This window comes from Homo sapiens, chromosome 14 (assembly GCF_000001405.40).
Source record: "Homo sapiens chromosome 14, GRCh38.p14 Primary Assembly".
NCBI lineage: Eukaryota > Metazoa > Chordata > Mammalia > Primates > Hominidae > Homo > Homo sapiens.
In genome coordinates, this window is record NC_000014.9 from 25,649,757 (window position 1) to 25,662,290 (window position 12,534).

The window sequence follows — 12,534 nt, forward strand, 5'->3', positions numbered from 1 at the left end:
ATCCAATCCCATCCTTTACCCGGGTATATGCACCCCACTTACCCAAAGTCAGCCTATTGGTGCAGGCAGACGATTTTCCTTTGGGTCGGGGAATCTCTTCAGTATCATCCCTTCAGGGTTCACCAGAAAGATGTTACCAGAAAGGGGTCCTAATACAGATCCCAAGAGAGGGTTCTCAGATCTCACACAATAAATCATTTGAGGCAAATCCATATAGTAAAGTGAAAGGAAGTTAATTAAGGAAGCAAAGGTATAGCAGCCCTTAGGGTTGCTGATTGCCCATTTTTATGGTTATGTCTTTTTAGAGATAAGATCTTGCTATGTTTACCCGGCTGGTCTTCAACTTCTGGCCTAAAGTGATCCTCCTGCCTCTGCCTCACAAAGCACTGGGATTATAGGCATGAGCCATGTGCCCAGCATTTTATGGTTATTTCGTGATTATATTCTAAATAGGGTGGATTATTCATTCCTCCCCTTTTTAGACCATATAGTGTAACATCCTGATATTTGTAAACTGTCATGGCACTGGAGGGAGTGTAACAGTGGGGATGCACAGATGTCACTCTCATTGCCCTCTTGGTTTTGGTGAGTTTTAGCTGGCTTCTTTACTGCAGCAAGATCTTTATGACCTGTATCTTGTGCCAAGCTCCTATCTCATCCTGTGACTTAGAATGCCTTAACCTCCTGGGAATGCATCCCAGCAGGTCTCAGCCTTATTTTACCCAGCCCTTATTCAAGATGGAGCTGCTCTTGTTCAAACACCTCTGACAGTATGTATAAAGAGCCTTGGAGCTCCCCTTTTTCCTCCCCAACTCTTGCAAACAGGTGACTAGCACTTCCCTCTATCTCCCCCATGACAGATACATAAGATACGCACACACACACACACACACACACAACAAGAGTTTTGGCTGGAAAATTGAACCAAAGAAACCCTGGACTTACCAGTATCAAGCACACAGAAATAGAAACTGAAAACAGGGGTCAAATCAGTCTCTATATCAAATCATTAGCTTCCTAGCTTCCTAGCCCCCGACACTGAATCATACCCTCAGCACCCAGAGTCCTGCTCCCTGGCTTACACCCATAGGTAGGAAGCTGTAGGATTTCTCATTGATAAAGTGCAATTGAAGATAATACTGTTCGGAAGTCCACTAATTAAATGACCACATTCAGTTGGTGGAAACCTCTAAAGGAACACACGGAAATTTCCATCTGCCTTTAGTGCCTTACTTTTAAATATGAAGGGGGAGCCAGGCTTTCATTGTAGAATAAAGCCTCTATGACATACAAGAGAAAAGAACACAGACAAGCATCAAGAAAACTTGGATAAAATAGACATAAGAAGTTGAAAAAAGTATAAATATTCTGAGAATAATAAAAAATTCATTTATAAAAGAGTTAATTGTGAAATTTGGATACCAAGAAGACAAAACAATAAATTAAACAGAAAACAAGGCAATTATGGAGTTGGAATCTGAGGATTAGTAGTAAATATATTCATCTGGCATCTCTCTTCCTGGGATACCAAAAATCATTGTTTTCTGCTGGAAAACACACACCCTTTCTTTCCCCTCACCCTCCATGCATATGGCCAAAAAAGTGAGAATGTAGAAATCTGAAGACAGACATCTGCCCTAAAGTTTCTGGAGAGTCAAAGACACTCTTACATGTACCTCCAAACGAATAACTTACATCCTAAGGCAGTAGTAGAAAGACATTTTAAAATGATGAGAACTTTAGTAGAATTTCTTTTTGCAAATGACAGAAACCTAAGTCATGAAGCAAAGACGGGAATGCTTTAGGGATTAAGTGAGGGACTAACGTGGGGCTCCCAATAACCCATGTGCATAGCAATTCCTAGAAAATGAGTGGCAGGAAATGTTAGATGTTCATTGATACGGCAAAACAGGGAGGTACAATTTTCTGTTTAAAACAAGATCATAGCTTTGCCGAAGTGAGAGCTTTCAAGTAACGTGAGTAATTCAGGTGTCATTAAAATAACAATAGCTAAAACTGATGTATTTGACATTGCTTACTTTATTCTTGTTGAGGAACATTGACTTTAATCAATTTTTTTTCATATAAATTGTAAAGGAAATATTGCACCAGAGAAGTTAAACAGGTAGAGAAGACATTATTGGAAGACTATTCCAATAGGGAAAAGGGACTATTGTAATTGGGAAGAGAGGTGGAACTCAACTCCACTGAAACAAAAGGCAGGAGCATTTTTAAGTGCTGGAGGGTGTTAGTGGGGAGGCAAGACAATGTGATAAAACCATCTGAGTTCGCTAATTGACACTTATTGAAGTTAGGCTCTTATCCTCCCACAGAGACTGAGACATAGGGACTCTTTCTTTATGATTGCATTTCAAAGGGATGGCTCCCAGGTCCACAACATTTCTGGATGGTAAAACTGGCAAGAGACTGGGACAAGATTTACATCTAAAAGGTTCAAAGAAAGACTTTATAATTACAAGTTTTCTAAAGTAAATGCTTTAAGAAAGAGGAGGTCAGGGGCCTATAGTCAGGAAGAAACCAATCTGTAGTGTAGTCAAGCTGAGGTGAATGTGAAGGCCATTTTAGTGAAACTTACATGTAGAGACGTAATAATTCTCTTTATTATAAATAAAATAGAAAAAGCATGGCATTTTGAGTCAAAATGATGAGGAATTCAAATTCTGGATCTTATTTCACCAGTCGTGTGAATTCCCATATAGTAGTCATGAACACAAATGTGCTAAATTAAATAATATACGTAGAGTGTTTGGCACAGTTCCAGAAACAAAGTAAGAATTCAATAAATGTTACGGTTTGCTATTATGAAAGAGACCCTGAAAATTAAATTCAGATAACGTTTCTGGGGTCTTCTGATATGATGCACTGGAAAGAACACAATTTTCCCTTTGCAGCATTTCCACAATAAATGCATAACCTGATTCTGATTATGAGAAAATATCCCACAAACCCAGATTGAGGGGCATTTTACACAATAACTGACTTTTACTCTCAGAAGTTATCCATGTCATTAGAAAAAGGAGAAACTCTCTTACAAATTAAAGTAGCCTAAAGAGACATGATATGATCTCGGATACAACATATGATCTGATATTTTCTTTTGCTATAAAGGATATTACTGTGACAATTGGCAAAATCTGAAAAAGATCAGCAGATTGGCTAAAATAGTAGTACTTTGCCAGGCTAAATTGTCTGATTTGGATAAATTATATGGCAATTAAGAGAATAAGCTTACTTTTAGGAAGTATACACTGAGTATTCAGGAGTAAAGAGGCTTCCTGTCTACAACACATTCTCAAAAGGTTCAGAAAGGAATAATATGCATATGTAGAAAGAGAGGAAGAGTAAATTGTAGAGAAAATATAACATTTGGGGGCTATGGGTGAAGGATACATAAGGGTTTTTTATACAATTTGTGGTAACAGAATAATTCCTCCTCCCAAAAAATGTGTTAATCCTCAGAACCCACAAATATCTTAATCTGCCTGGCAAAACAGACTTTGCAGATGTAAATAAGTTAAGGATTTTGAGGTGGCGAGATTGTCCTGAGTTATCCAGATAGGCCCAGTGTAATCACAAACATTCTTACAAGTGAAAGATGATGCAGGAGAGTCAGAGTCACAGAGAGATGTGAAGATGCCATAAAGGTGCCACGAACCAGGAAGTGCAAGTGCTTCTAGAAGATGCTAAAGGCAAGTGAAGGGATTTTTCTCAAGAGCCTCCAGAAGGAAGGCAGCCCTGCTGACACCTTGATTTTAACCCATTAAAACTAAATTTGCGATGTTTCAAGCCACACATTTGTGGTTGATACAACAGCAATAGAAAAGTAATACACTATTCTTGCAGGGTTTCTATAAGTCTGAAATTATTTCAAAGCAAGTTTTAAAAAAGTTCCTGGGGGATTTTTTTTTTTAAAAGTCTTCTTTCAGGGGTTTTGTTCTAAATGTTCAGAGATGGAATTTTAGTTAAAATTGTGAAATAGCCATAAAAACTAAAGGTAATTACACCAGACTCTAAGTAGGTATAACCAGGCTCTATTCACTAAAAGTCTACATTAACATGTACCACTGAGAATGTTTAGTAACTATTTTTAACTAATTTTAATAAAAGCCAGCATGCCAAAGATTATGGACAATGAATATTAGCATTCTAATTAGCATAACAGAAGTATTTATAACTATCTTATTATATATTATTTCTTTCAAAAGAGAAATTAATTGGAATAAAGTTCTCTTTTGTTATTATCTGATCCTTCCTCCCAACCAAAACGCCATTATATTTTGGACAATCATTCAAAACTTTATTCTTCAGCCCCAATTAAAACAAAGAGTAATATTTAACCTTTTATATTCAACCAAATAGGGGAGATAAGGTAATCAAAACTGCACAGGTAAATACTAAAGGGATCAATGGACACGGACACAAGGCTGAAATATAATTGTTTCACTGTGTTAAAAAGTGTAATGACTCAGAAGTTGCGGGTAAATTGTTGGTATTAACTGAGCAAGACTTCTTTAAAATGTCAGTTTTGATCTATGACTTGAAGTAGATGAAGAGTATGGTTTAGCATTTAATAAGCTAGTAAATTGGTAAAATTTATATAGGTCAGGAAAAAGTTTGAGAGGTAGCTGAAAGAACTGAGTGTAGGAGAAGACAAGATCTTTTAGGGTTTTTATAGGCACATACCAAAAGATAAAAATAAATATGAGGTGTGATTGATGCCAAAAAAAAAAAAAAAAGACTTAAAAGCTCAAAGTTAGGATTGAGTTAGAGTTCAATGGGAATTAAAATCCTAGAGAATATTTTAGCTTCTGAAATCATGTTGAAGTATTGACTGCATTATGCTCTTTAATTTATAGTAAAGGTCTAAATGGCTTATTTGTCATTTTGCTGTTACTTCCCAATGCCACAGCTAATTACCTATTAATTACAGGGGACTGAAATAAAAGTATTTACCAAATTGGGTTTGTGCTGAATTGTCGGCAAGAGAAACAGGCTACAATTTCTTTCTTTAATTAATACTTAAACTCTATTATGTTAAAACCTGGACAGGCTCTGTGAGTTCATTTGTGCTGCTATAAAAGAATATCACAGACTGGGTAATATATAAAGAAGATAAATTTCTTTCTTATTTCTTCCAGCTCTGGAGGCTGGGAAGTTGAAGGTTGAGGTCTCCACCTCTGGTGAGAGCCTTCTTGCTGTGTCATCTCATGGCAGAAGGAAGAGAAAGCAGGAGAGAGCGAGATGGCACTGAGTTGCTTTTATAACAAGCCCACTCTTGCAGAAACTAACCCACTGCCTCAATAACGACACGAATCCATTCATGGGGGCTCTGCCTTGATGACCCAATCACCTATTTATTAGGCCTCACCTCCCAACACTGTTGCATTGGGTATTAAGTTTCCAGCATACCGGCCGGGCACAGTGGCTCATGCCTGTAATCCCAGCACTTTGGGAGGCCGAGATGGGCAGATCACGAAGTCAGGAGATCAAGACCATCCTGGCTAACATGGTGAAACACTGTCTCTATTAAAAATATAAACAAAAAATACAAAAAAAAAAAAAAATTAGCCAGGCATGGTGGCAGGCGCCTGTAGTCCCAGCTACTTGGGAGGCTGAGGCAGGAGAATGGCGTGAACCCGGGAGGCAGAGCTTGCAGTGAGCCGGGATCGCGCCACTGCACTCCAGCCTGGGCGACAGAGCGAGACTCCATCTCAAAAAAAGTTGCCAGCATACCAACTTCAGGGGATGCGTTCAGACCATAGCAGGCTCTCAACAGTGCCAGAGACCTCCGAAAATAACCCTGTCCCTGAAGAGCAAGTTTGAAAAGGAACATTTCAACTTTCTATGGGGATGTTTGAGTCTTTGTTGGTTTAGGCTAGACCCTTGATATTATTTAAACATGGTTTATTGTACATAATTAGATTCTAATTTCTGGAGAGAGAGACATTTATTTTCAGCACTGAATTGGTAATTCGAGTGAGGGTAGTTTTAAATCCAGTGTGAGCGTTATTCATGCTGTATACTAACATACTTTAGAGGTAATTGTTTCTACTGCTTTTTAGGACACAGCTTGATGAATAAAATAAATTTGGAAAAGGAGAGACACAAAATGCAGAAATATAGACCATTAAAAAGCTTATAAACCCACAACAAATACTTTAATTACATTGGATGAATGTAAATCATGAATGCCGAGCAGCTGGATGCTATGAAAATGTAAATGCAAACTAATCAGTGGAAGTAGAATAAAGCTGGAAGCCCTATAAATCAAAATATCCATTGGGGAAAATAGGGGCTGCCATCAGGCATTTTTACATAACTACATCCTGGACATTTCAGCACATATATACACATATGGAAGATAATAGAAAGATTTTGGATTGGGCATCAGCCTTAAAATGACCCTATGGATTCTTATTTTCGTAATGTACTTGCTTGAAATATGTGCCTGATTTGATTTTTATGAAGCCACTAGCCACTGTAGCTGTTTTAATGATTTGGCTGGACCTGAAATTTAAAAATTGAGTTTTCCTGGTGGTATTCTTAACAGTATGTGAGGTGAACAAAGGGGAGAAATGGGTTTGAGAATATTCTTGATCTCATTAGCCAACCTACAATAAATGTTAGTTGAGAAAGTAATCTAAGTAAATATGAAGGTTACCAAAATTCTTGTTAGTCTTTCTTGTGTCATTTTAACTTTCAAAACAACTTCCAATTTTTTAAAACCCAAATGAGTTCTCCACTCTGAGCCACTCTCTTCAAAATTTTGATTTCCTCAGCTTTTTAACTGAAACCTTCACCTCTCCACTGTTGGCATAAAACTCCATTTCTCTATCTCCTCTACCAGTTTTCTTGTTGCAACCAAACCTATCAGTTCTTCCTATCAGTCCCTCAGCCCTGGATGGCCATCTATAACACAGGAGAATCAAATAGCAAAACCTGTTAGATTTCTGCCTTAAAACATCCAGCACAACAAAAATCTTTCTCTGCATTTCTGCAAGTACTTAGACCACCTAGTGATTCTCAAACTTGGCTATACATTAGAGTCACCTGGGGAACTTCTAAAACTAGGGATGCTTGGATCCCTTCCACTAGTGATCTTGTTATTAACCAGTCTGTTGTAGGGCCTGGGAGTTAAACATGTATTTTTGAAACTCCCTGTGTAATTCTGTTGTGCACCAGAATTAAGAAAAGTGCCCTGGGTCTTGTATATTACAGCCATGCTTATGAAAATTATCTGTTTGAGGAGCTTGCAGAGAAGAGAACCTTCATTTCATTCTGATTGACCCAAGAGGCTCTCTCCCGTTCAGAGGGAAAAAAATCTCTATCTTTGTCTGAGACCCAACTCTTGATCTTTGTTTGTCATCTTGAAAAGCAAGCTTTTGTTACAGTAGGTAGCTAGTTGGGTGTGAGCCGGGCAGGGGAGGGCTACCCTCTACACACACCAGAAGGTGATGATCAGGCTGTTAACACTCTCTGTAAAGTAATGATTGGTCACAGCTGGTACCAGCGAACTGCAGTCTCCTACTAGATAGAAAACACCTGAAACTGTTGATAAGCCGCTTCTCAATAAGATCTCAGGAGTTTGGAGAAGTAATGCAAGACTCCAGAAGTATGCCAATGTATGAAAACCCCAAGTCTAGAGGTCAAACTAGGCACTTGTCTTTCAAGTTGCTTGCTTGGCCTTCTTCCAAGTGTACTTTCCTTCCTTTCATTCTTGCTCTAAAGCTTTTTTGTAAACTACCTCTCCTGCTCTAAAACTTGCCTCAGTCTCTCCTTCTGCCTTATGTCCCTCAAATTCTTTCTTCTGTGGAGTGTGGGGGGCAAGAATTGAGGATGCTGTAGACCCGTACAAATACGGAATTGCCATCGCTAACACTTTGACTCCTCCTCTTAAAATGATTTTTTCTTTCCTGCTATGCTCATCTTTAGACAGTTCCTGTAGACTCAATCATAGATGCTATCACAATCCATGCCTACTAAATTCATCTCAGTATCTACAGACACCTACTAGCACAATGGTCTTAGGAACCTTGTTTCCTCTGAATCACTTAGTTCATAAATGTTAGTAAGGATACATGAATTGGGAATGCTTTTCATCCCTCTTTCCTTTCAGTCCTAGCCATTAGGGTGTCAAAGTTTTTATTTAATAGCCAGGTGAATGCCTAATAACTCTCTAAATGCTAAGCTGCTGATACATTTTGTTGGACTAAGAAGCTTACTCCTAAGATTATGAGATCTTTCTTATTATTTTGAATCTAAGTGTTTATTTAACATTGGATATTAGCAGAAAGCTTCCTCTTCTAGGGGCTAAGATGAAAATGTAGGTAAAAGAAAAAGCATCTAGCTATAAGGGAAAGCCAGGGTATTCATTTTGAAACATAATAAAACATCCAGCACACTTGGACATGTAATAGATATTTCTATCAAAGAATGTAGAGGCATTGCTAAAACAGAAAATAATCCTTTGACCCCAAGATATGAGCCTTAAAATAAAATTAGTCCTGAAAGAGGCCTTAATATTATCTGATTCAGTGACTTTTTTTTTTTTTCAATTGGCTCCACTAAGCTTTAGGGATTCCAGGACCCTCCTTCTGGGACCTCTGGAGGAGGGGGCACCCAGGAGTAGCTAACGGGGTTCTAGATTCCCAGCCCTCTGTTTCAGTCAGAGTTGTTCAAAGTTGAACTTTAAGATCTAAACATTGAGGTATCCTTTAAAAAGAATCTGGAAGACCTTCATTAAAGAGTGACAAGCTTAACTACCAAGAAAATTAGAAAACAAATCACTGTGCAAGGAGCTGTAGAAAACCTTGAGGGACTTTGCAGCACATGGCACACATAGTTCAACATCTCAAAGGAAATGATTCTGCTTCAGTAAGGGGAGAACCGCTTGTCAACTGAAGTAAGAGAACAATAGAGAAGCAAGAAAGATCTCTTGGTTTACCAAGTCCCCACTACTTTCTGATTGAGGAATCAAGGGGGTCTTCTACTTAGATTAAATCATAAAAGGGGTTTGATTTTTAGCTCTGTCAATACAAAGAAACCTTAGAGAACAAAACTTTACCTAGAAATATTTTCTTCTTGTAACTTATAGGAACTACACCAACTTGGCTTTTATCCTTTCCTGCTACAATAAGAATAAGCCATGGCATAAATATAAGATATGAGGGTTCTAAGTGATGCTTGTGAGACATCGCCTATATCAGGGATCAGCAAACTTTTCCTTTAAAAGACCAGAGAGTAAGTATTTCAGCTTTGCAGGCTGAGTAATCTCTATAGCAACTTTACAGTAGAAGAGTGAACGTAGCCATTGACAATAAGGAAGAGATTAGGCATGGCAGAATTTGGCTCATGGCCTATAGTTTGTTGACCTCTAATGCACACAACAGGGCTGTTTTGTTCATTAAACTTTTCCATTTTATGCTCCAGTGAATACACAGCTGGCACCAATATTTTATAGAGGAACATGCCTCATAAATCCATAAATTTCTGACTTGCTTACCATGAGCAAGCTTAGATATGCCAGGTACGTGCTGCCTAAAACACACCATAAGTAAGGATTCACCATTAGTAAATACTACCAGGAAATTTGATTAGCATATTTGCAAAAATATTTGACACATCACTTTTTTCTCTCCCTTCTCTGACCCTCCTCCTTTGCCATTCCCTCTTAATTTTCTTCCTCCCCATGTGGTCCCAGGGTCAGGGTGGATTGAAGATCAGCTAATAATTCTTTCCTATCCTGCTACACTGTGAGCTCTGTAAAAACCAGAGTTTTTATTTACTAAAAAAAGTGATTCATCTGGGATATGTGTCAGTTCCATTCAAAAGATAACACTGTTTCTTCCAGAGTAGAAGGGATATAATGTAATCAACTTTCTAACAAGTAGCTGGTTGGCCTCGTTGAGGGATAGTGTCATATCTAGAGATCAGTGTCAGATTTTGTTGTGGTCAGGTTGGACATTTGGCAGCTGCTAACTCATCCTTGATGACTGGGAGGCCATGCTGTTTGGCCCATTAGAACTTCATTTATGCAAACAACATGTCAGCACTGGAGTGGCTGATGGCAGAAGCTGGCTAATATTGTTGGGCAAGCCAGTCTTCTGTCTACCTGGCTGTTTATTGCCTCTTCCATGGGCATGTTAAATCTTACATCAGAGGAGAGTGCTTCACTTTTGATAAACTCTCCCTTATCTAACTTTACGTTCTGCCTTTGTTGATCTAGCAATCTCAAGATTCAATCCCATTTTATGCTTTCTTAGCTCTTGTTGATACACGCTGCTTGGATCCTGCAACTTCTTCAGATTACAGTCCCATTCCTACCTTAGCCAGCCCAGTGATTCCCTGGCTATTGTTGTGACTTAACCATAGTTATTGGTTTGGTGGCAAGGAGATAAGGTGGAGATAGATCCTGAGGTTGGGAGAGGTGTGTCACATTTTCATTAAAGACAGAGATCTCAGCATCTTTTTTAAGGAAGAGGGGGAAGAATGCTAGACTTTAAGGGAGAAGATTGGGCCACTTCTGCAGTCTCAGAGGATTCAAGGGATTCTGGGGGTTCAAGATATTTGAGTACATTGATTAGCTAGTCCTACATCAAGCCTCAGCGCCTCACTGTTTCCAATCAGTGCCTTAATTTTGCCATAGCAGACTTGCTAGGGCTGAAAATTCAGCCTTCTTTGAGCACTGTTACCTTTATAGTTGATCCTAAACTTAGCCAAGGGTTATCTGCCCTTTGGCTGCAAGAGATAAAAGTTAATTTATAGAATTCCCAGAAGACCCTCTGATTTTAACACTTTGTCTTAAATTGGTGCTTAATCACCCTCAGGTTTTCTTTGTTTTTCAATGATATGGCATCAGCAACAGCTGTTTAAATTCTAGTGTCCTTATGATTACCTCCCCTGAACCTCTCTAGTACTTGAGCCATTGCAGCTGCTAATGCATTTCCTTACACAGCTATACAATCTGAGTTTAGCACTGGTGAAAATTTTAACTGAGTCATTACAGCATGTCAGAGAACATCAGACTTGACCTACTATCAAAGATAAAAATCATTCTTGTCAGACTCACCAGGTAGGTGATCCAGCTTCAAAATGTTTCATTGGTGTACTCTTGGCATCACTGTTCTCATGTCTCCAGTCAGGTTTCCCAGCTAAAAAATTGTGAGATGAAGGATTGTATGCAGTAAACAGATTGGTCATGCTTTTGGCAACAATACCTGTGAGGGAGTGAAAGATTCAGGTTTGGGAGAAGTTGAACAGCAATAGAATAATAACAAATTCTTAGCTGATTCCATGGGGAAATTCTGGCACTGGAACAGCTGTTCTTAGTTTTCTCAGATTGTGGAAAGAGAGTCAAACCTTTGTACCCTTGCACCATTCAGTAGTCAGTGAGGGAGGGGATATAAGGGATATAACCTTAGGTTAGGCAGTTCTCTTTGAGGAAAGCTTTTGGTCGCGGGGGTTTTCAACTGTGAGCCATCGGGAGGCTAAGTCTTAGCAGCTAAGAGGAATGAGTTCTTTGATCCTGAATATAGAGGTAAGTTGTGAACCTCAGCATCTAATTAAGTCAGTAGTAGTGTAAATGAAAAGGGGGTATATTTGGGGTATAACTTGGGAATTATAAATAATACAGTTCAGACACTGGGCTTGAGGAATTAGGGAGAGGAAAGGGTATAATGTGCTAGACTTTCAAGTTGAGTGGACTTGAAAATCCTAGAACAAAAATCTATAATTAAATCAAAAAGCCTACAGAACAGGCTTTTCTCTAATGGTTTCCAGACCAAAATATTCCAAACAACTATGTCAAACATCTAGTCGGTAGGATGCTTTCAAGATTTTCCAACTCTTCTCTGTCACCCTTCAATTGCCGCTTCATTGTTTTTGCCCTTTTATTCTGTTACATAACACCAGTTCCTATCTAACCCCCAAAACCCAAAGCCATGCAAATCATGACTATGCTTTCTAGCTTCCTCTCACACAGTCACTTAACAATTGCTGCTGATTCTACTTTGTACATCTTTCTTAAACCTAAGCTCTCTTCCCCAACTCTTGTCTCCACATCAGTGCAGACTCTTCATTTCTTACTGAGATTATTTCAAATGTTTTTTTGTTCCCAATCTTCTTTCCTCCAATTCATTTTCCATTCTTCTTCTAGTGATTTTTTTTCCAACTAAAAATATGCCATTCTCCTTGCTTAAAATTATTTGGCAGGTTCCCATTACCTAAACAAAACATCCAAACTTCCTGGCATTGCATACAGGACTCTTTATCATCTCACCCCTGACTGCCTTTATCATCTCACCCCGACTGCCTTTCCCTAACAATTTTCCACTCAGCTCCAATAACACTCTACACATTGGATTTGAACGTGATGACTTGAAACAGGTTTGTACTGAAGTATGTCTGAGTTCTGCCAGGAGTTTTTAAAGATAATTAATTGTCTTCGTCTGCAAGAAAATTCGCCCTTGAAACAAACGTGAAAAGTGCACAGAACATTTGTATCCTACAGTCAAT

The 12,534-nt window shown here is 38.7% G+C and overlaps 1 annotated feature.

Annotated features, from left to right (window-relative positions):
• Nucleotides 2,145-2,685: an enhancer, noted in NCBI's record as "NANOG hESC enhancer chr14:26121107-26121647 (GRCh37/hg19 assembly coordinates)". NCBI's record gives its function as "activates a minimal SCP1, AML or CMV promoter by ChIP-STARR-seq in naive and primed H9 embryonic stem cells {active_cell/tissue: H9 hESC(naive and primed)}" and the evidence as "EXISTENCE:reporter gene assay evidence [ECO:0000049][PMID:30033119]".